General features: G+C 36.4%; 1 protein-coding gene across 2 annotated transcripts in view, besides 6 other annotated features; it reads left to right on the forward strand.

The window, feature by feature from the left end:
- Window positions 20,028-20,177: an enhancer, noted in NCBI's record as "active region_25662". NCBI's record gives its function as "activates an Ori minimal core promoter by ATAC-STARR-seq in GM12878 lymphoblastoid cells {active_cell/tissue: GM12878}" and the evidence as "EXISTENCE:reporter gene assay evidence [ECO:0000049][PMID:35858748]".
- Window positions 20,311-20,829: an enhancer, noted in NCBI's record as "H3K27ac hESC enhancer chr7:12250602-12251120 (GRCh37/hg19 assembly coordinates)". NCBI's record gives its function as "activates a minimal SCP1, AML or CMV promoter by ChIP-STARR-seq in primed H9 embryonic stem cells {active_cell/tissue: H9 hESC(primed)}" and the evidence as "EXISTENCE:reporter gene assay evidence [ECO:0000049][PMID:30033119]".
- Window positions 20,311-21,346: a biological region, named in NCBI's record as "H3K27ac hESC enhancers GRCh37_chr7:12250602-12251120 and GRCh37_chr7:12251121-12251637".
- Window positions 20,388-20,437: an enhancer, noted in NCBI's record as "active region_25663". NCBI's record gives its function as "activates an Ori minimal core promoter by ATAC-STARR-seq in GM12878 lymphoblastoid cells {active_cell/tissue: GM12878}" and the evidence as "EXISTENCE:reporter gene assay evidence [ECO:0000049][PMID:35858748]".
- Window positions 20,618-20,927: a silencer, noted in NCBI's record as "silent region_17977". NCBI's record gives its function as "represses an Ori minimal core promoter by ATAC-STARR-seq in GM12878 lymphoblastoid cells {active_cell/tissue: GM12878}" and the evidence as "EXISTENCE:reporter gene assay evidence [ECO:0000049][PMID:35858748]".
- The window catches only part of TMEM106B (transmembrane protein 106B), a 32,074-nt gene continuing 28,281 nt past the window's right edge, over window positions 20,629-24,421 (forward strand). The window contains exons 1-3 of one of the 2 annotated variants that reach the window (NM_018374.4): window positions 20,629-20,760; window positions 23,536-23,729; window positions 24,144-24,362. In NM_018374.4, the coding sequence (NP_060844.2) occupies window positions 24,146-24,362 (217 nt within the window). In that variant the 5' untranslated portion in view covers window positions 20,629-20,760; window positions 23,536-23,729; window positions 24,144-24,145. The remainder of the gene's footprint in view (window positions 20,761-23,535; window positions 23,730-24,143; window positions 24,363-24,421) is intronic. The other variant, NM_001134232.2, reaches the window with a different exon arrangement.
- Window positions 20,830-21,346: an enhancer, noted in NCBI's record as "H3K27ac hESC enhancer chr7:12251121-12251637 (GRCh37/hg19 assembly coordinates)". NCBI's record gives its function as "activates a minimal SCP1, AML or CMV promoter by ChIP-STARR-seq in primed H9 embryonic stem cells {active_cell/tissue: H9 hESC(primed)}" and the evidence as "EXISTENCE:reporter gene assay evidence [ECO:0000049][PMID:30033119]".

Consider the following 24,421-nt stretch of genomic DNA (forward strand, 5'->3'; position numbering starts at 1 on the left):
GAGCCTGTAAAATCAAAAGCAAGTTAGTTACTTCCTAGATACACTGGGGATACAGGCATTGGGTAAATACAGCTATTTCAAATGGGAGAAATTGGCCAAAAGAAAGGGGCTATAGGCCCCATGCAAGTCCAAAATCCAGCAGGGCAGTCAAATCTTAAATCTCCAAAATGATCTCCTTTGATTCTGTGTCTCACATCCAGGTCATGCTGATGCAAAAAGTGGGCTCCCGTGGCCGTGGCTTTGCAGGGTATAGCCACATCACTTGCCTGCTTTCATGAGCTGTCATTGAGCTTCTGGCTTTTCCAGGTGCACAGTGCAAGCTGTTGGTGGATCTACGATTCTGAGGTCTGGAGGACAGTGGCCCTCTTCTCACAGCTCCACTAGGCAGTGCCCCAGTAGGGACTCTTTGTTGGGGCTCTGATCCCACATTTCCCTTCTGCACAGCCACAGCAGAGGTTCTCCATGGGGGCCCTGCCCCTGCAGCAAACTTCTGCCTGGGCATCCAAGTGTTTCCATACATCCTCTGAAACCTAGGCAGAGGTTCCCAAATCTAAATTCTTGACTTCTGTGCACCCACAGGCTGAACACCATGTGGAAGCTGCCAAGGCTTGGGGCTTGCACCCTCTGAAACAACGGCCCAAGCTGTACCTTGGTTCCTTTTGGTCATGGCTGGAGTGGCTGGGACATGCTACTAAGCCCCTAGGCTGCACACAGCACAAGGATCCTGGGTCTGGCCCAAAAAACCATTTTTTTTCCTCCTAAATCTCTGGGCCTGTGATGAGAGGGACTGCTGCAAAGATCTCTGACATGCCCTGAAGACATTTTCCCCATTGTTTTAGTGATTAACATTCGGCTCCTTGTTACTTATGCAAATTTCTTCAGCAGGCTTGAATTTTTCCTCAGAAAATGGGATTTTATTTTCTATCACATTGTCAGGCTGCAAATTTTCCAAACTTTTATATTCTGTTTCCCTTTTAAAACTGAATGTCTTTAACAGCACCCAAGTCACCTCTTGAATGCTTTGCAGCTTAGAAATTTCTTCTACCAGATACCCTAAATCATCTCTCTCAAGTTCAAAGTTCCATAAATCTCTAGGACAGGGGAAAAATGCCACCAGTCTCTTTGCTAAAACATAACAAGAGTCACCTTTGCTCCAGTTCCCAACAAGTTCCTCTGCTCCATCTGAGACCACCTCAGCCTGGATTTCATTGTCCATATCATTATCAGCATTTTGGTCAAAGCCATTCAACAAGTCTCTCTGGAGTTCCAAACTTTCCCACATTTTCCTGTCTTCTTCTGAGCCCTCCAAACTGTTCCAACCCCTTCTTGTTACCCATTTCCAAAGTCACTTCCACATTTTCAGGTATCTTTTCAGCAGTGCCTCACTCTATTGGTACCAATTTACTGTATAAGTCCATTTTCATACTGCTGATAAAGACATACAAAGACTGGGCAATTTACAAAAGAAAGAGGTTTAATGGATTTACAGATCCATGTGGCTGGGGAGGCCCCACAATCATGGTGGAATTTGAAAGGCATGTCTCACATAGTGGCAGACAAGAAAAGAGGGTTCGTGCAGGGAAACTCTCCTTTATAAAACCATCAGATCTTGTGAGACTTACTCACTATCATGAGAAGAGTATGGGAAAGACATCTGTCCCCATGATTCAATTACCTCTCACTGGGTCCCTCCCACAACACATAGGAATTCAAGGTGAGATTTGCTTGGGGACATTGCCAAACCATATCACTCCTTCAGCCTGAAAAAGCCATTGATGTTTCTTCCCACTCATGAAAGCAGCCACATGGAGTACACCCGGCAAAGCTATTGGGGCACTGCTGCCTGAGGTCTTGAAACCCAGTCCTTGAACTAGTCCACAGAATGCAGGACATGAAGTTAAGGATTATTTTGGAGCTTTAAAATTTAATGTCATCCTTCCTGGGTTTTAGACTTGTGTGAGGCCTGTTACCCTTTTCTCTGGGCTGATTTATGCTTTTTGGAATAGGAATCTTTTACCCAATGCCTGTACAACCTTGGTATCTTGGAAGTAAATAACTTTTTTTTTTATTTTACGTGAACATAGCTGGAAGAGACTTGTCTCAGATGAAACTTTGGACTTTGGACTTTTGCTAGAACAAGTTAAGACTTTGGGGGATTGAAAAGGAATTATTATATCTTGCAATGTGAGGAGGACATTATTTCTAGGAGCCCAAGAACAGAGTGCTATAGTTTGGATGTTTGTTCTCTCAAATCTCATGGTGAAATTTGATGTCCACTGTTGGAGATGGGGCTTAATGGGAGGCTTTGAAGCCACAGAGGTGGATCCCTCATGAATAGATTAGTGCCCTCCCTGAGGCAAGTCGCAGGGATGGAAGTGAACTGCGGTGAGAACTGGTCATTAAAAATAACCTGGCACCTTGCTCCCTTCTCTCTTGCTTTCTCTCTCACCATATGAAGAGAGAATTTCTGCACATCTGGCTCCCCTTAGTCTTCTGCCATGAGTGGAAGCAGCCTGAAGCTTTCATCAGATGCCCAATCTTTCAGCCAGTGGAATTATGAGCAAAATAAACCTTTTTTTTCTTTATATACCCAGCCTCAGGTATTCTTTATAGCAACACAAATGGACTAAGACAAAGGTTAAAGACATTTTTAAAATTTAAACACCATTGACAACTTTTTTTTTTAATTTAAAACTAAATTTGAAGCATTTCTCTAGAGGGCAGAATTAGCCGGTAATTATGGTTGAGAGAATGATTCAGTGCCTTCTTGTTTAGTCCAGTACTATCACATTTTAGTTGCTGCTGTTGACACCTTGAGACAATCAAAAACAGAAAGTGGAAAAATACTTTATTAAAATTCCATCTTAAATTTCTTTCTCTGAAAGACATCCTGAGGTCATCAATGACTCTTGTATTTGAATATTTCCATCCAGCATCTAGAACATTAAATATACCAGGACTTCTAGCTATCTAAAATAATAATCCTTGTATTTCAGGCAGTATGGCTTAGAAGATAAGGAAGTGCATTCGATTTCAAAGTTACAATAATGTACAAGATAAATAGGATATTACTAGAGTTATAGCCTACAATGTAATTCATTATTTAGAACCACATAACATTTATTGTGAAATTTCCAAATTCTGTAATGATCAATTTATAAGGTATTGTCAGTATTATTGCATTATAGTAGTTTTCAAGGCTTAACTTTTATATTCCTAGAGTGCTCACTGTGTTGAATTCATTATAAAGACAATGTTCCAACATATATAAAGAAAAAGTAGAAGAGACAAGTCAACATACTGCCCTCATATTTTGGAACATTTTCTTGCAGTCTTAGCCTATTCCGTGCATTTACAGTTCTGTATCCTCCCTTAATACTAATTTAATTAGCTACTTCCATATTTTTTAATTTAAATTTTATTTTATTTTGTAATTTTAAAAACAAAGTTGAAAAATAGTCTTAGGAATACTTCAAACTGTTGGTTATTATATATTTCTGGTTATAAGTCTTTTTTTCATAAACAAAAAGTCTGAAAGAAGATTACACAAACATGGTAAAAAAAAAAAAAAAAACAGAAAAAACTGCTTTACTCACCATTACACACAGATAAAATTTATAAACTATGTCTCTGGATTCTTATTTATCTTTTCAGAAAGAAGCAATCTATAAACTATCCTTTCTTCTAGGAATGCTTTGACATTGACATTCCTGACCAGGTTTCTATGATGCATTGCTTCAGTATACTGATCCAGTATTAGATCCAATACTGATCTGATTTGTGTGGTCATTAGTAAGTCATACTGAATTACTATTTATAAGACAAATTTTCATTAACATGATAAAAATTAAGTTTCAACTGAGAATTAAAAAATGAATAAAAGAGAAAAATAAAGGATTAGATAATAAATACTACTTAATTCAACATGAATATTCATATTCAGTAAATTATGCTAAAATATTCATGTTAAATAAAATATGCTAAAATATTTATATTTAAAAATATGCTAAAATAAGGTCATTTCAAAGACATTAAAACAAACTGGCCTCCTAGAGTCATTCCAGACTGATGAGGAGAAGCTCATAGATCACTCATCATCCTTTGCTCAATGATAGCTTTGATTGATAGCATAAGATATCATCTTTGTATTTTATCTTGTTTAAATCTAAAGTCACACATCATAATATATTTCTATGTTAGCCACTTAGTGTAAGTAAAATAGTATATTTATGTTAGAGACTAAAAATTTATCATAACATCCCCCTAATCGGCATGCAATCCTTAAAGTGCGGCATCAACCTTATAAAGGGGAAAACGGATTACCTGCATACACATACGCGTACAAATATTCATACATCCACAAATTTGGATTCAGACTCATCTGAATTTTCAGCCTTGTGCTTTCCAGTCATACTGTTTCTTCTTTATATGAGAAGGCATAAGCATGAATATAACCATTCTTTTTGTGTTTGTTTTTGTTTTTAAACTCTTCTGTATCTAAGAGGTAAAAATAGATTCTTTTAAAAATCCCCTAATTAATAATAGTAATAACCAAGGTATGTACCCATGTGTAAGCAAATTATTGTAAGAAACTTCAGAATATTCTGTACCAATGTGTAAACATGTCATTGTAAGAAACTTCAAAATATTCTGAAGTAAACTTACAGTAACAACACCCATAAACTAATGTGTTCTGTGACAACTTAGAAAGCAATTCTTTTTCTGTGTGACATTTCATATAAACATGGTACCTTAATCCAAGTTTTATGATTTACTTACAATTATAATTTATTGACCAACATATTTTTTAAATAGACCATTTAATAACCGTATTACAATATGAATAATATCTAGAACATAAAAATATTCTGACTTTGGAGCTGGAGATCAGCCTGGTCAATATGGTGAAACTCCATCTCTACCAAAAATACAAAAATTAGCCAGTCATGGTGGTGGGCACCTGTAGTCCCAGCTACTTGGGAGGCTGAGGCAGGAGAATCACTTGAACCCAGGAGGCGGAGGTAGCAGTGAGCCAAGGTCGTACCACTGCACTCCTGCCTGAGCGACAGAGTGAGACTACACCTCAAAAAAAAAAAAAAATCATTCTGACTTTGAAATCTAATATTTTATGCCTTTGAATAATGCAGGAAAGTATTTAGAGTATAGATGATGAATTAACTAGTTGATAAGAGCAGTATACTAATGAGATTTTGGTTCCTTTACACTTCATTTAGTTTTGCATATCTTTTGCATATCTCAAAAATATACCCTTAAATCTTCAGACTGTGTGTCTTGGATTTCTATGTGTAATGTGCATGTGTATGTAGGTGTGTGAGAGACAGGAGTGAGCACACTGAATTAAGGTAAATGATCCTTATATCAAGAGCTATAAGTACATGTGTTTCTTACACTGGATTGATAGTACTGTTTATTTGAAAATGACATTTAACCATATTGCTTGTTAATTAAGTCACAACATTCTCTAAATCTAAAGTCTATTATGGTCTCCATTATATCATGTACAATTCTATAATTGATAAAATAATTTTAGTAGGTCTTTTCAGCAAATTTACCAGTGCTGATTCCAGGAATTAAACCTACTTATTCGATTGCTGTCCTGTGGCCTCAAAAAAAAAAAAAAAAAGTCACTAAACTGCAACGCATCTTACTAACTTGATATAATAAAAGCATCATATGTGTATCATAGAGCAGATATAGTAAAACAAAACATTCTTTTCCATTTTGGAAATTATTAAGAAACCAAATTTGATAGGTAGAGTGAATCCATGCGGAAAGCTCAGATAAAACAGTAAAACAATATAGATAGTGCTGCTCTGTAGAATTTTGATCCTGTTAAAATTTCTCTGCAGAATGTTACATAACTATCATCAATGACTGCTACACTGTTCACATTACAATAGCTACATTGTGTGACAAATGGAGAGTATATCTGTTTCAAGCATGCAATGTCCTATTAAAAGACTGATGCTTGGCCGTTATTCAGGCATCTCATTTCTCTCCTCAAAGTTAAAACACATATGTCATGATATTACTATTAATATTTCATGATTATACCACTACTTTTTCCTAATAAAATTATTTAGCATTTACTATGTCTAATTTTTACTTACCCAAAATTTATTTACACAAAATTTTATTTTGATGTTAATGTGATTAATCAAATACTATTTTGCTATGCCATCATTACTACTGATTACAGCATTTGCAAATATCTAAGGTAAGTCATTACAAGGAGGCCATTTTCAGGCATTTCTACTGTACCACAACGGTGGTGGGTTTTTGCTACCATAAATTTGTAATTTGTTAATGTAAACTAAAATATTTTAAGAGAACCCTTAAGTTCAATCTATATAAGCATGCTGATTTATAGTCAGTGAGCTATAGCAAAACAAGAAGCTAAGAGGCTTTAGAGAGAAGAGACTGGTGAGGTGGAAGTACATGGATGAGAAGAGCAGTAGAAAACCAAGATTTAACCAAGTTAAATCACAATCACGTGAATTTTTAATCTTAAAATCAATGTTCTTGAAACAGCAAACTGTAGAAAACGTTCTCTTTTCCACTAGGAAGTGCAAGAAATGGAGGAGGAAAAATGTTTACGAGTTACTGGGCACTCCTAATGAGAAGAAGATAATAGTGCTCCTTTTTTCTGCCTCTAGAGTAGAGGTGTTACCCATCACTATTGTCAAACCCTGTGGTCCAGTTTAATGAGTGCTCTCCTGAGTGGCTTTGATTAGCAAGATATTCTTTAAGTAAGTCTTCCTTCCTTTCTAGAGTATGATTCATGAGCTTTACAGAGAAGTTCATATGCTTATGAGAATTCCATGCAATAAATATGTGTGTGTGTGTGTGTGTGGAAAGGAACAAAGAATTGATGTTGGTGAGGAGGCAGTAGCCAAGTGAGCAAACACAAATAGAGATAATTAGTAACAATGAAAGATGAAATAATGACTACAGGATGAGTGGAGTTCATTAATTTTCCCTATTTCAGGCTTTAGCACCATTTAGCTGGAGAAAATATACATGGTTCAAATGACAGTAAAATATTTTAGTCTGTTTAAGATGCATTTATTCAACAACTATTTATTGTTTACCTATGGTATTTCAGGCATTGTGATCTCGGATAAACTTACTTTTCAAACTTTCTGATAAACATGAATTTTAGGACTTCCAAACATCCTGATAAACATGAATTTTAGCTCTTTTGCTTTTTTTTTGGAAACAGGGTCTTATACTGTTGCCTAGTGAGTGCAATGGTGTGATCACAGCTTACTGCATCCTGGAACTCCCCTGCTCATGCCCTTCTCCCACCAGCCTCCTCTGCTTTTTGTACTTAGTATCTTGTGAGTTCAATTTTTGAAAAATGTATAAAAGGTGGATGGAACGTTGTAATAAAAAAACACCCATGTAACTTAAAAATACACGAAGAAACTTTGAATTCAAATGTTTTACTTTGGAAATCAGACAGAGAAGCATTCCTACAGGGCTACATTTTCTCTTTGAAAGAACACCTGCTCAGCCCATTTGCCACACCTGAGAGATGCCTAGGCTATTTACATATCACGTTAACAATTTCAAAGATCTACAACCACCATAGGGATCAAAATTCTTTCCTGAGGCATTTTCTCAAAACAAGATCTATATTTACTAATTATTATGTAAGAAAATATTAATTGGGGAAGTAGTTGAAAGTATTGTAATTTCTCATCTAGTTTCTATGTGAGGTTCCAATATGAAAAACACATGAGTGGAAATTTGGAATAATTTTTACCAAGAAGAAAAAAATTGTCTTTACTGCAAAAATAATATAATATGAAAACAAAGATTATAACAATTATTACACATCATTTCATCTGTTGGCACCTAGGCCTTAATGCTTAAGAAGAAACACTTCAATAATTTTTGGTTGTTTATTTTTACTATTTTAAACAACTTTCTTTCAGATACTGTGATTAACAATGTTTTGGTTCAATAATCTTAATACTATGTTCAGAATTATTAGTTTAATATCAGCATAAGTTAGTTTATAATCAATACTCCAGGGGCAATTTTGTGGTCTTATGCAAAAAGTAAGATGATGAATGCATTTATGCTCTTTTCAACTTGGATTCTTTTTCCCAAAATTAGTAAAACTCTGTACTCTTCTTATTGCCTTAATTTGAGTAGATCAAATGGCAGTTACCCAGAGAATACCAGAGAATCCATAAAAGAAAAAGAGATAGGTACAATACACTCTCTCAAAAAAAAAATAGCTACACCTGGAGCTATAAAACTGGAACTAAATATTTTATAAGGAATATAAGAAAGACATCAACCTTTTTAGAAATATATCCAATAAAGACAATGCTTAAAACAAACTGAAGAATTACAAAAAACCACGTAGACTAAGAATTACGAAAATTTTTAAAACCAATATAGGACACAAACATTGAGAGACACAACAGAATAGCTAATGCATTTGGAAATCACAAGAAATAAACCCAGAATTGGTCAAAAAGAAGGCAACATCCCTACATATACTAGAACAAGTTTTACTGCAATTTCTTAGTAAAAAGGGAATCTGCAAACCCACTGTTACACATAATTATGTTCAGTTGATTGCAAAGTAAAATTTATAGTTTTCATTCCATAATGACTAAACATAAACATAATTCTTTATAGATTCCTAATAAAATAATCTTCCCAGGCATATTTGCAATGATGACCCCTGTGTTATTATTCTAGCCAAATTCTGGTGCCAGGAGTAGGAAGACAAAATAAGCAGATACTTCTCACAGGCTATTGTTTTTAACAAGGCTTATTTTTGTTTGGGTGCTCTACTTATTACATATGCATGCCTGATCTCTTGTGAAACTAAAGCCTTATAGGAATGTCAAGGTTAGAAGGGAGGCTCTGTAATTTTCCATTAGTCATCAGTTAGTAGATTCAAGCAGCAGAGAGTGTCTTTTGATAGGTTTACCTAGCTGGTGCCAAAGTCTGTTCAAATGTCCCCTAATGTTACTTACTTTTGTATTTGTGACTCAAAATACTACTGCCAAGGATTCTATGAGCTTTTCAAAACATTTCAATAAAAATAGGTTTGCAAATGCAATAGGAATGATTATATTAAGGAAAAAGTTCAAATAAATCTATAAACGAGTGGGGAAAAATGTACTTCCACGTAGATCATTAATTCTTAATAATGAGGATAATAAAAGTAAGACACTGATGATATACTATATACTTAACATTAGCTATGGGAAAATGATTAGCCAGTAAAAATACACAAAACACCAATCTGCACGATGAGCACATTCCGAGCAAAAGGTAGAGCAGAAATGAACCAAAATGGCAGGAAGAACAAGCCAGGAAAGTCGGAAGAAGAACAAGGATTACAGAATCCTGGCAAAGTGTTTACAGTTGGATTCTCTTGCAGAAGACATCAGTACCCACTTAAATGGCCATTTCGGCAAAACTCTGGCCCATATGCCTAGGGTCAGGCAGTGAAGGGGTAAAACCTACAACAGATGTGACCAGCTAAACAAAAGGGTACACTTGTGTGGAATTAATCCACCAAGTCTGCAGGACACAATTCTCATTTTTTTTTTCTAGTGTCTAACAGCATTCTCAAATTCCTTCTTTCAAGTATGTCATAGCTGCTATTATCATCTGATATCAGCTCTTTAAAGCTACTGCAACTTTGTCTGTTGGTTCCTAGGAATCAGTCTGTGTCTACTATCTGTTTCAAAATTTTGGATATCACACATGCCCATTTTCTGTCTTCTGAGTCTCTTTGTCCAATTATTCTTAAAATAAATCAGAAAATGACTAATAGTAAACATGAAAGAGAATTTAAGACAGATAACAACATTTTCATGATATTTACTACATGTATTCTATTTAAAAGTGATATCAAAATTATTTATGATCAGATCAAGCCAGGTATACAGGAGAAAATACAGCTACCCAAATATAGAGTCAAAGAGTCAAGTTCCATTAATTATTCACCCCTTTATTTTATTTTTCATAAAAGTGATTTATTTCAAATTATAGTAATATTAACATGTATTTCAAAGCCAACATATCATTTCTCTATTTTATGAAACGATATTGTGAAGATACTGCAATGAATGAGAAAGACACAAAGACACAAAAAGGGGCTTTAAAATTTACCCAGGTACTCAAGGTCAGAAGAGGCAATAGGCACAAATTCCAGGAAAACTGTTTGGGCAACAGAGATCAGAAAAGAAAGTAAAAAACCTAGGCAACATAGGCCAACCAAAGGCAAATCTTGTACACGATTAAAATTTAGAACCCAAGTCTGAATATTAATGGGAATTATAGGATACCAACATCAAATAGGGCCCTGAACTAATGAATTGGATTTGTAACTTTATTGTTTGAGGAAAAGAAAGTAAAGAGTTTTGAGCCTCATAAATGAAAAGCCAAGACAAATCAGAACCTCCATGCTGAAAGACAATGTAAGATAAAGAGAAAAAAATAGATTCTAATACTTTATCTAAGAACAAATTTTTAATAGTTTATTGAAGTGTAACTTACATATAATAAACTATGTATTTTAATTGATCAATTCAATGAGTTTGAGCAATTGCCCACAACCCTATAACTGTCACCCAAAACAAAATGAAGAATACTTATACAATCCCAGAAATTTCCCTTATGCTCATTTTCCTGTCAATTTCTACCTCTACCTGAGGAAACCACTTTCTGCTTTCTATAACCAAGTATTTATTTTGCCTTTTCTGGGAATTTGTATAAATAGAATCACATTATATGAATTCTTTGGCATCTAGATTTGTTTGCACAAAAAAAGTTCTTGAGATTTGTCCATGTTGCTTATACCAGTAGCTCCTTTTTATTGATGAATAGCATTCCATTATATAAATTACGAATGTGCAAATGTATGTCACCTTGCTTATCCCGTTGATGGATATTTGGTGTCTTTTTTTTCTCCAAGTTATGGCTAAGTATAAGGCTGCTATGAGTACTCATGTACAAATCTTTTTGTGGACATGTTTGATGTCCTTGTAGATCTCTGGGTCTAGAATGCATGTGTTTATAAGAACCTGCCAGTTCTCAGCCAGGTGCGGTGGCTCATGCCTATAATCCCAGCACTTTGGGAGGCTGAGACGGGTGGATCACCTGAGATCAGGAGTTCGAGACCAGCCTGGCCAACATGGTGAAACCCCGTCTCTACTAAAAAATACAAAAAAATTAGCCGGGCATGGTACTACTCAGGAGCCTGAGGCAGGAGAATTGCTTGAACCCAGGAGGCGGAGATTGCAGTGAACCAAGATCACGCCACTGCATTCCAGCCTGGGTGATAAGAGCAAAACTCCATCTCAAAAAAAGAAAAAAAAAAAGAAAGAAAGAAAGAAATTACCAGTTCTCTAAAGAATTGATTTTTACATCCCACTAGCAATACCTGAGTATTTTAAATTATTCCACACGTTTATCAATGAAATTTCCATGTACCCCATGCCCAGTTTCCCTATAACAGCTTACATTAGCAAGGTACATTTGTTACAATTAATGAACCAATAACGATACATTGGCCATACTTTATTCTGGTTCCCTTAGTCTGTACTTAATATACTCTTCCTGTTTCGGGATTCCATCCAAGAAGTATTATTACATTTAATTGTCATGTCTTCTTAGCCATGAAACTGTGACAGTTTCTCAGACTTCCACTCTTCCACTCTTTTTGACGACCCTCACAGTTTTGAAGAGTTCTGGTTATTTTGTAAAATAATTTGGTATTTTGTAAAATGTCCCTCACTTGGGATTTGTCTAATGTTTTCCTCATGACTAGATTGGGTGTGATGGTTAATTTTATATGTCAACTTGGGTGAGTCATGGTGCCCAAACGTATAATCAAACATTATTCTGGATGTTTCTGTGTGGTGTTGCTTGGATGAAGCTTATATTTAAATCAGTGGACTTTGAGTAAAGCAGATTGCCCTCCAATAATGTGGGTGGGCTTCATGCAATCAGTAGAAGGTCTGAATAGAACAGAAGTCTGCACCCCACAGCAACAGGGAATTCTGCTAACACATGGTTTTTGGACTTCAACTGTAACATTGGCTCTGAGTTTCCATCCTGACTGCCTTTGTACTGGAACTGCTACTCTTTCCTGAATCTCCAGCCTACCAGCCTCCCCCTTCAGATTTTGGACTCACCAAGCCTCCATAATCATGTGAGCCAATTTCTTAATATAAACCTCTCTCTCTATCTCTCATACACAGACACAGACACAGACACACACACACACACACACACACAGACACACACATTCTATTGGTCTATTTCTCTGGAGAATCCTAACCAATCTTAGGGAGGAAGACTCAGAAATCTTGGGGAGAATCCTAACCAGTCTTGGGGAGGAAGACTCAGGAAAAAAAAAGTGTCATTCTCATCACACTATATCTACGGTACATAATATAAACATGACTTATCCCTGTTGTCAACCTTGATTATCTGGCTGAGGTAGTATGGGTCAATTTCTAAACTGTGTTTACCATTTCCCCCCTTTCTATACTGTGTTCTTTGGAAGGAAATCACCATATGCAGCCCGCACTTAGGAAGTAGGGAGTTATGTTCTGCCTCCTTGAAGGTGTTATATTTACATAAATTATTTGGGGCCAGGTGCCGTGGCTCATGCCTGTAATTCCAGCAATTTGGGAGGCTAAGGTGGGAGGATCACTTGAGACCAGAAGTTTGAGACTGGCCTGTGCAACACAGTGAGACCTCACCTCCACACATACAAAAATAATTTTTTTAAAAATTAGCCAGGTGTGGTGACACACACCTGTGGTCCTAGCTACTCCAGAGGCTGAGGTGAGAGGATTACATGAGCCCAGGAGGTCAAGGTTGCAGTGAGCCGTGATCTTGCCACTGAACTACAGCCTGGGTGACAGAATGAGATCTTGACTCAAAAAAAAGTATATAAATATATATATATATATACATATATATATATATAAAAATATGTATATATATATATATTTGGAATTCTCCTACATAGGAGATTTGTCTATTTCCCCCCACTCATTTCCTCAGTCATTTATTCATATCAGTAAGAACTCATGGATGTGTATTTTATAATTTGGTTTATCATCCAATGCCACTTTATTTATATCAATATTATTGCTCAAAGTATACCAGTTTTGGCCATTGGGAGTTCTTTCCATTGCCTCCTGTGTCCCTTTGACAGACCCTCATTACTCTCAGTTTCTGTGAGTTGTGTGTATGCACTGAATTTGCTAATATTTTATTAACATATTTGCACCTCCATTTTCTTTTCTGATAATATATTTATCAGGTTATGATTTCAGGGTTATGCTGCTTCATAGAGCAAGTTAGGAAATGTTCCCTCCTCTATTTTTAAAAGGAGTTATTCATTTATTTAAGATTGGTTTTATTATACTTCTTCACTTAATGTTTGATATAATTCACTGGTAAAGCCATCTGAGATTGAGTTTTCTTTGTGAGAAAGTTACAATCACGAGTTCAATCTCCTTAATAAAAACAGGGTTGTGCAGATTTTTCTATTCCTTTGTCAATTGGGCAAGCTATATTTTTCAAGATATTCATTCATTTTTATCTAAGCTAATGAATTTACTAACACAAAACAGAGCTTCTCCACCTCAACATTATTGGCATTTGGGGCCAGGTAGGTCTTTGTTATGATAGGATAGTGTGTACTACAGGATGTTTAGCAGCTTCCTTGGCCTGTGTCCACAAGTTGTGTAGTAACTTTCCTCCCGGGTTGTGACAACCAAACTATTTCCAGATATTGCCAAATATCCCCCCTGGGAAAAATTACCCCCATTTGAGAGCTACTGTCATAAAGTTATTCATAATATCCCCTTGTTATGTCTTTAATGTTTGTAAGATTTGTAATGATGTCTCCTCTTCTTAAAATGATATTAGTAATTTGTGTTTTCTCCACTATTTCTTTGTTACGGGTTTGTTAATTTTTTCAAAGAACTGACTTTTGACTTTAATTTCTCTATCTTTTATTTCACTAATTTCTACTTTTATATTTACTATTTCATTTCTTCAAGTTGGATTTTATTTTGTCTTCTGTTTCTTAATGTAGACACTTAACTAGTTCACTGTAAACCTTCATTTTTTATTCTAGGCATTTAATGTTATAAATTTCCATTTTACTGGTAATTTGGGTGCTTCTAACAAATTTTGATAGACTTCTTATCATAGAGTTCAAAATATTTTTCATTTTACTTGTGATTTCTGTGACTCGTGGATTACTCAGAAGCAAAATACTTAATGTCTATATATTTTGGTATTTTCTAGATAATTTTCTGCCACTGATTTTTATTTTTGGCCATGGATCATATACTCTATGATTCTGATCTTTTGAAATTTATTGAGACTTCTTTTTTGTGTGCTGTCATCTGATTAGTTTATCTTGTTGGGTGTTCTTCGTGCAGTTGAAAAAAAATTGTGCTTTTTAGTTGATGGATATCATATTCTATTAACTCAATTATGTCAAGTTAGTGGAGAGTGTTAATGAAATCTAAATTTACCTGATTTTTATTATTCTATTAATTACTTATTATAGACTTGACTATTTCCCCCATTTAATTCTCTTAAGTATTTCTTTGTGTCTTATAATTGTTACATATTCTTAAATAATGAAGACTTTTATCATTATGAATGTGCTTCATATCTCTGGTAATACTATGTGTCTTGATGTCTTACTTTTCTGATATTAATATGGTCATATCTTTCCTATGCTTATTGTTTTCATGGTATATTTTCCCCATCCTTTTATTTTATGCATTTTTTTAAAAGTTTGCCTTCAGTCAGCCTGGGCAAAATAAAGAAGTCCTGTTTCTACAAAAAGTAAAATAATTAACTTGGCATAGTGACATGTGCCTGTAGTCCCAGGTACCTGAGAGGCTGAGGTGGGAGGATCACCTGAGCCCAGGGAGATCTAAGGTGCAGTAAGCCATGATTGTGCCACTGTGCTCCAGCCTGGACGACAGAGTAAAATCCCATCTCAGGAAAAAAAAAAAAGTTTGCCTTCAATAACAAATTACTACTTAAAAATGTAAGAAGGCTGCAACACTATAATTCTATTTACACTCTCTCCTATACAATATGGCTTCATTGCCATGTATTTTACTTCTAGATATGTTCTAAACCCAAAATATACAGTTATTAGTTCACTTTAGTCAATAATTTTTTAAATATATACGTCTCTATAGATAAATATGTAGAGATATGATATATGGGATACACATAGAATGAAGACAATACAAAATGTTTCTGTATGTTTATTTATGTATCAGGACTTCCATCTGGTGTCATTTCACATTAGCGTAAAGAGTTTCTAGACATTCTGCTGGAGGTGTTCTGGAATAAATTTGCTCAGCTTCTGTCTGTATGAAAATAGCTTTCTTTTGCTTTCAATTTTTTTTGCTAGACATTGAATTTAAATTGATATATTTTATGTTCTTAGACACTTCAAATATGCTATTCCATTTTCTATGGCCTCCATCACTTTTGATATAGAAATTAGTAGTGATATTATTATTGTTTCCCAGTATGTAATGTATATCTTTCTTAAGACTAATTTTAAGGGTTTTTTTATTTGCTGTTTCCCTAGGTTTAGTGTTCTTTAAATTTGTTTTTTGTTTTGTTTTGTTTTTAGGATTCACTGAATTTCTTGAATATATGGATTTACATATTCAGTCAGTTTTGGAGATTTCTAAGTTTTTATCTTTTCAATATTTCTTCTATCCCCTTTCTGCTCCTTGGATTCCAAGTACATATGTGCTAAATGATTTGATATTATCCTAAAGATATCAGATGCTCCCTTCCATTTGTCCTTGATTTTGCTCTTTATATTCAGTTTATATAATTTCTACTGACCGTCTCAAGTTTACAGGTTTTTTTCCCTCTGTTATGTCCAATTTGGTGATAATGCTAAAAAGTGAACTTTTTACTTCTAATATTTATTTCTAATATTTCAACTTGCTTTTTATAAATAGTTCCCATCTTTTTGCTAAAATTCCCTGTCTGTTCATGCATGTTTTCCATTTTTTATACAGATGCTTTAACATATCTATCAAAGTGATTTTAAAGTCTCTGCCAGATAATACCAAATCTGGGCCATTTCTGTATTTTCCCCTATTAATCATTTTCTCTCTTGACCATGGCTCACATTTTCTTGCTCCTTCATGTCTCATAATCTTTATTATATGCTAGATATTGTATAAAAGAAAACAGTAAATAACATGTACCTCAAAAAACATCTTGCCATTTTTTCTATCAAGATTATTGTTTGGAAGGCTGAATCAAATCTTTCAACAGTGAGTCAAAAACCCACATTCTGGGTTTTGTTGAAGTTTTGATTCAGTTTATTTACTATTGCTTTCAAATATGCTTGAGTTCTTGGCACTGGCAAAATCTCAAGATTAATGTGCACCTACTAGCTCATTCCACCAAACTATTCAATACTTTCTTAGCTCAAACACCTAGCTTCCAATATCTCCACAGGTTGTTCTGTTTACTCTCCAGTCTTGCCGGTCATTTCTGTGCCTCAGGAGAATCCTGGGCAGCCTGCCACCCTGCCTCCAGCCTTCACAGAGCTGCTGCAGTACACTGGTTAAAGGCCTAGAATCTGCAAAGAAATTTCTTCAGCATTCATGCCCTACCCCATGCCTTTAACATATGACATTTGAGCACTTAATGAAGACCTTTAGGAGAGAATTGGAGAGTGAGTGCACACTCGTTCTATCACTGGAACGACATGAGATTGTAATCTATCATCCTGGTCCACACACAGGGGTGTCATTCGGCAGGTCTCCCTTCGGCCCTGTTTATGGTGCATTCCTCCTTCTCCCACTGTTTTGTAGGTGATTAAAGCAACTCTAATTCTATTCTCTCTTAGGAAGCTCTCCTTATCTTTTGGATTTAAGTGTACTTAAATTTGCGTCCTCATTTCTTTGATAAGTTTTTTAAAAATGTTTAAAAAAAAAAAAACCTTCTCTAGCTTGTGTTTGTTGTGAAGAAACAGTCTTTTATAACATAAATCCTAATTGGACTCTGTGTTTTCCTTATTTTATATTCGGAACACCTCCTCAAGGATTTCTGGACCCAATTCTCCTCTTTTCAGCAGCAGTGATGATCACTTAGCAAAAGAGTGAAAATACCCTCTTTTCCCCCCCTAACCAGTTAACTTTACTCACCGTCATCACTTATCTTTGTGTAGTAAAAGTTGAGGACAGAATTCACTCTTCCAAATTTAATACAGATATTCATGCCACAGTGGTTAATAGCTGTAGCTTTGCAGTCAAAATATCCGAGTTCTAGTTGCTAGCTGTGTGGTCATGTGCAAGTCATAATACCTAGGATCCTCTATTTCCACTGTTTGAAATAAGATATGGGATAATAACAGAACCTAATCCATAGCATTTCTATAAAAATTAGATGATATAAACTACTTTACACAATGCCTGGCACAACAAATTCATTCATTGGCCAAGTGTTATTGAACTCCTAAAATTATTCTTACTAGAAATTATGATTATGACAAAAACCCTACAAAAGATGACTTGAATATTTGGGAAAGAAAGTTTTAACACATGGGAAAGATTAGCTCCATGCAGGTGTGAAGCAAGATGAATGAGACAGAGGAAATATAGAAGATCCTGCCTAAGAAGGAGTACAGAGACATAACCAAGAGTTTCAGATAGGTAAGTTATTTGCAGAAATTAATAAAGACCTCTGCTTTTAAAATAATTGGAATGACAAAGATGTGTCAATAGAGTCAGGAGTTTACTGCCTGTGAATGTAAGTCAGGTGGCACAGCGGGAAATGGTAGTTTTGCTAATGGTAGTTTTGCTATGTATCTGGGGCACTATCTCTGAAAATCAGCCAGACAAACTTCAATCTTTTCAATCCCTGGTTTCCAATGTAACCTATCCAGGTTTCTAACATAATCTGACCAGCATATCAGTGGAAGGGGGTGAGCTGAGAGAGACTTATATATTAACATTTGACAAATTATATGTTTCAAAATAATTATGTTCCTTTTCTGCTTATAATTTTTAACAGCTAATTTCTAGAAAAGTAATTTTTGCAAAATTTTTAGTTATGGCTGACTGCTATTAGGATTTGGGTGATTTACCATTAAAAGAGATAAAAGAGAATTGAAATGAGAGATAAGGCTGTTTTCAAGATTTAGTACAACCTAGAGAAATCCCTTAGCTTCAGCATCATACTAAATATAACCAGAAATCATTAAGAAAGAATGTTCTTCTATTCAAACTTATCCCAGACTGTTAAAATTACTGGCCTTTATATCTGATAGCACCTAGACCACTACTGAACTCGGAACTCAAGAAATCACTGTTAATCAAATAATTGGAAGCTTTTCAGAAAATTTTCCTTTCAAAATGTGCTTCAATGAAAAATAAGGCATAGGAACAAATGTACCAAACATTCAATATCTGTCTTTAAAGTACTTCCTTGTTATATGGATGATAAATTTGTAATCATAATATCTAATATTTACTGATTGCTCTGCAGGTATCAGCTCCCATCCATAACCCTTTGAGACAGACATTATTACTATCTTCATTTTGCAGATAATAAAAATTAGGTATAAAGAAGGCTAAGTATTTTGCCCACTCTTACAGAGATTTTGTATATCTCTGTCAGGCTGGGCTCATTTTCAGGCCATATGGCTCCCAAGGCTGTGTTCCCAACCCTGCTACTGAACTGCTTCTTACAGCAACATTCTCCCAGGAAGACTTATTCCTATGTGAATTCCAGGAATTTGGATAAGGAACTGTGCTATATGGCCAGCACGTTTTAAGTTAAATGATGAGGTTGAGAAAATACTAAATACTCCCTTAAGAATTAAAGAAAAAAGTAACTTTTTCACTTAAGAATAATATATATTACATTATAGAACCATTTGCCTATTTAACAATAATAAAGAAAAAACATCCATGCTCTCAAACTACAGGCAACTGTTTATATTTTGTATATTTCTTTCCATTTCAAGGCAGATATGTAATATATTTATATCTATATGTTATCTATATGTGAATATAGTTTACATCCTATTACAATACCTCATATCCTATACTTTGCATCCTGATTTTAATTTTATATCACTCCGCGTATAACAGCCTTATAAGATGGTTTTTACTGGCTTTATAAAAACTCAATAGATGGCTATTCCATAATTTTAAAAACTCAGTAATTCCAAGGGGAACATCATATCTCCACAGGTGGACTGTCAATAATTTTGAGAAAAATTTTCCCCCATGATTCTGATTTGTTTTAACCAACCTATTAATTTTGAAATTTCAAACAGTGTTAATGGAAGACACCCTGACCCTTCCCTTTGGAAAATATGGGCTAAATAAAAGCGGTTGAAAAATAATGATTTTATCAATGTCCCTTGTTGGACATTCAGTTTATTTAAATGGATACACCTCATACCCAAATCTTTTTAGAGTTCTCATTAGGTTTAGGATACTTCTGAAAGGGTGGAATTGCTGGACCAAACGATGTGAACATTTTAATAGTCTTGATACATACTGACTGTCTGCCAGAAAACTTAGGAGTTTTAAATCTCCGACAACATTGTATGAGAAAGCTCATTATCTCACATATGGATCTACAGTAATCCTCTTAAATTGTATATCGTTCTGACTTGTATTTCCTACTTTTACATAGCTTCATTTCCCAATTCCTGTTAGAATTCCCTGATTCTAACAGGATCACACTGATCCTGTTAGAAGAGAGAAATATATGACTCTCACTTCCTTGCTCCTGTGACTGTAAGAATGCCTACCATTCATTAAACGTTAAACTCTCCGCAGGAATGAGACTAGAGTGCCCTTAATATTATTACCGGCATCTCATTGATCCCTCAAAACGACTCCTTGTCGTTGTTCTTATCTTCTAAGTGAAATGACCTAGACGTTGGGGGAGGGCAGCCCCAACCCACAGCGAAGAGCTTAAGTACTGGGATCCGAGACGGGATTTCACACACCTGTAACTAGCACCAGAGTTAAGGGGTGGGGAGGGGCAGCGTGGGCAAAGCGAAACGAAACCGAGCAAAAACAAAAACTACGGCCTTGCCGCTTGCTGTCTCCTTCTAGTTGGCCAGTTTCTAAATTAAAATAGAGGTAGCTTTGCTGCTGTCAGCGGCGTGTGTACGGACCAGTTTATTCCATTCCTAAGGACCAGACTGTCAGCGACAACTCGCATTGCGTGAGCGAGGAGGCTGCTCAGCTGAAAGCTGAGGCAGATGGTGCACATTTATACCCTTTGCAAAAGGAAATGGTCTGATATGGGAAATAGGAGGAGCGACTGTTCCTAGGTAATTCGTGGCTACAGTGGACACTTTGAAGTCTGGGGGACGCGAAGGTAATGAAACCTGAAGAGCGCACAATCTCACACGATCGACGCCTCTGGGCTCAAACAGGAGGAAGAAGGACGCATGCGTCACGCGCACGCCAGGGGTGTCCCTCCGGGAGCGCTCTGCGCAGGCGCGGACGCAGGTTACAGCAGCGCTTGGCCTCTGCTGATGCCGTCGTTATCCTACCCCTCCCCCGTCCCAGCTCTACGGCGGCCGCGCGCTCCAGGCCGGTCGCTCCACCCCCCGGCTCCCGGGACTGTGGACTCCACGACCCTGTCCTCGGCCCTGTCCGCGCCGAAGCAGCCCGGGACTGCGCAGCGCCCCGCGTGCCGGTGAGCGACCCCGGACGTGCAGTCCCCAGGTCCCCTTCCGGAGCGAGGCTGAGCGGCTGCGCCGCGGCTTGAGCCGGGCCTGACAAGGAGGGGAGGCCGCTGGGGTGCTGGGCCAGCCGCAGGTACGGCGGCGGTCAGGGCTGGTGATCGAGTTGCTGTGTCGCCTCTAATGAGGCCCAGCCAGGGAACACTCGGCTTCGGCCCAAGCCCTACCTCTGGGTTGCCTCTAGGCCCTCACACCTTGAGCGCCAGGTGGCCCTCTTCCTTTTGCTGTTGATGAATGTTCTTGCCGTGGTGCCGGGATCTTATTTTGCAGCTTTACAGAGTAGGCTTTGTGCTAGGTGTTGTTTATGGAGCTTTTCAAAGGCGCTTGTTTCCTTAGTTCTCAAGCCCTTTTAGAACTAAAACCAGTGTCTACACAGAAGATCAGGAGCCATTTAAATTGGAGTGCTGTGATATATTTTTTCTCTCCAAACTGAGTCTGATATCCATGTTGACTTTCAGTAAACTAAGGAACCGCTATAATAAATAACACTGAGCCCACAGAGGTTGCAGAAGAGGGTCTAGCACCCCTTTTTTAAACCATTGAGTCTCCCAAGAATAAAAGTGGTTACACTTGTCAGTTCTCTAAGGAAAATCTAGTAGAGAAGGCAAGGGATTCCCAGTTTCTCACAGAGTCTGGCACTTGTCCAAACACCTACCCTAAAGCAGAATCGATCATGGCAGCTATTAGATTAGGACAGAAAACAGGCTCAAACGGAGAGCCACTTGAGTCTGCCTTTCTGTGTCTTTTTTCTCAACGCGCTCCAGTTAAGATGCAGCTTACAGCCTGGCTGTGTTGACTGAGATCCCAGAAAGAGTGCCCTTAAGGCCTTGCTGATAAGGCCCAATGATCCCAATTCATCTAGTGTTCCGCATAGACCCCAAGGTTACAGTGTGTGGGGACAGTGATGTTAAGTCTTCCCTATCCTACCTGTGGCTGACAGGTGTTGATTAAGACAATGATTTTTTAGAAGTCATAAATCATTTGTATTTTTGATGTGGGCAGTGATTTTTATAAATACATAGTTTTTTTTTTTTGAAAGAGTGAAAATCTCATTTTACATTTGTTTGCATACCATTTGTATAGTTTTTTAAATTCTGTTTATTTGAGTGACAGCAACAAGTGGATGGCATGCGAATTTTATTTATTTTTTTATCTTTGTATTTATTTTGTGTATATTCATGGAGTACAAGTGCCATTTGCTACATTGATACACAACATCCTGGTGAAGTCAGAGCCCTTAGTGCATCCAGCACTGGAGCAACACACATTGTACCCACCAAGCAGGCTCCTATCAGGCATGCCAGTTCTAGAAAGTAAAATTTTCTTCATACTCTAGGATGAACTGACTTACTTGGAATGTCTGTTTTGTTTAATCAAATAAGTGAGAATTTTTGAAAGAAATACTATCTGTCTGAATGTATGTAATCTATTTTTAGGAACCGCTAAAAGACATATCAAATTTAGAAGGAGTATAATTATGTTATTTTTCAGTTTTACTTTTTCACTTTATTTTTTCTCAGGATATAAGCAGGAAAATACCAGCAGGGTGTATTATATGACTGTTAAGTTCTTTTCAGCTTTAAAAGGGTATGACCTTAAGTATAAAGTTACTTCATTATCTACCTGCAGAAGTTATTTTTGTGTAGGCACTAGTACTAATTATTTATTTCTACTTAGATTTTTACATTTGTATTGTTATTTTGATACTCTTATCCTAAAATTTTTGAAGTTAGTGTTCTAAATTTTGCTGCTTTGTATTGGTAACTTATATTTAATATTTTGGAACATTGGCTTCATAATTTTAACTGTCAACTGTTGAATGAAAAAAAAACTGTGATTTTGGAATTTTGGGGCTTTTTATTGTTGTTGCGAGTGTTTAAATGTTTAAAGCAAGAAATTTAAGGATGGAAAAGAGTGGTGATTGTATTTATCACAAAGGTGCGTGAATTTTCAGAGGCTGAAACGTACTACTTTGAAGTTACTTGGTGATATACATCAAATACCTAGTTATCGTCTACCCAAAGCAATTTTTGCCTTTAGTGCTAACTAGTTAAAAGGTAGAATGTATTTTTATTTTATTTTAAGAAAAATGAAACCTGCATGTTTCTTTTCAGAGAACCTGCAGGTGTAGACTTTTGTCAAATGTTAATGTTTGAAAGCCCATTCTCATCATAAGCATGATAGGACATCATTTCACATTATTTGTTTAAAAAAACACTTCTGGACTCTAGTAAATGGCTCCTTTGTTTCAGACATTATTTTGATTGGATATAATCCTAATCCAAAAGGTATAATCCAAAAGGTAGTTTGAACATTCTCTTAATGTTTGTTCTGTAAACCAAAAATAAAATTCTGAGCCCCCCAACTAAGTGGAACCCGCTTCTCTGTCAAGGGCATTCCAAAGTAAACCTAAAAAGGTAGTTCAGGCCATGATGAAAAGGTGGGTGGAGGGGATTGAACATGCCCCGTTGTACCTTCCTCTCTTTGGAATTCAGGCACAACTGACCAGCATCAATTAAAACAGAGATTTGAAGACTAACAAGAGTCTCTTTGTAGCAATAAGATATCAAATCCCAACCTGACTCTAATATAGAATCACTCGACAGATAGCAGGCCCTGAGAGAAATTGAAATATCTTACCCCAAAATATATTTCTTTGAAATGGCCTTGCAAAGCTGTCTCTCGTGGGGAAGATCCACATTCTGTACAGAATCCCCTTTCCTTTCCAGATCTTTTCCTAATTCAGCAGCGATTTAACCAAGAGCCTGGAATATTTTAAGGAGTAATAAGAGACATTTACAAACTATTCTCTCTGAAGCCTGCTACCTGGAGGCATCATCTAGATAATCAGAACCTTGGCTTCCACATCCTCCTCCCTTGTCTTAACTACAAACATTTCTTTCTGCTGACTTCAACTCCTCAGGTAGAGTTTAACCGTTTCAACCAATTGCCATTAGGAAATCTTTAAATCCACCTATGCACCTATGACCTGGACACCCCCCAGCCTTCCACCCCTGCTTCAAAATGTCCTGCTTTTCTGGGCTGAATTAATGTATACCTTACATCTATTGATTTATGCCTCTGCCTGTAATTTCTGTCTCCAAAATGTATAATCAAGCTGTAACCCAACTACCTTGAGGACATTTTCTCAGGACCTGTTGAGACTGTGCCTCAGGCCTTGTTCACTCATTTTTGGCTCCGAATAAATCCCTTCAAATATTTTACAGAGTTTGACTGTTCCTTGACTGTTCTAAATTAATTAGTGTAAATATCTCAGAGTGTTCTTGAATGTACTTTTTTCCCTGAAGTTTACTGTAAGATTTTTATTTTTCTTTAGACATGGGAAAGTCTCTTTCTCATTTGCCTTTGCATTCAAGCAAAGAAGATGCTTATGATGGAGTCACATCTGAAAACATGAGGAATGGACTGGTTAATAGTGAAGTCCATAATGAAGATGGAAGAAATGGAGATGTCTCTCAGTTTCCATATGTGGAATTTACAGGAAGAGATAGTGTCACCTGCCCTACTTGTCAGGGAACAGGAAGAATTCCTAGGGGTATGTGTTATTGTATTGTTTTCCCTTTAAATGATTTTAGGTATTTGCTCAAGTATTAT

The sequence above is a fragment of the Homo sapiens genome, chromosome 7 (genome assembly GCF_000001405.40).
Source record: "Homo sapiens chromosome 7, GRCh38.p14 Primary Assembly".
NCBI lineage: Eukaryota > Metazoa > Chordata > Mammalia > Primates > Hominidae > Homo > Homo sapiens.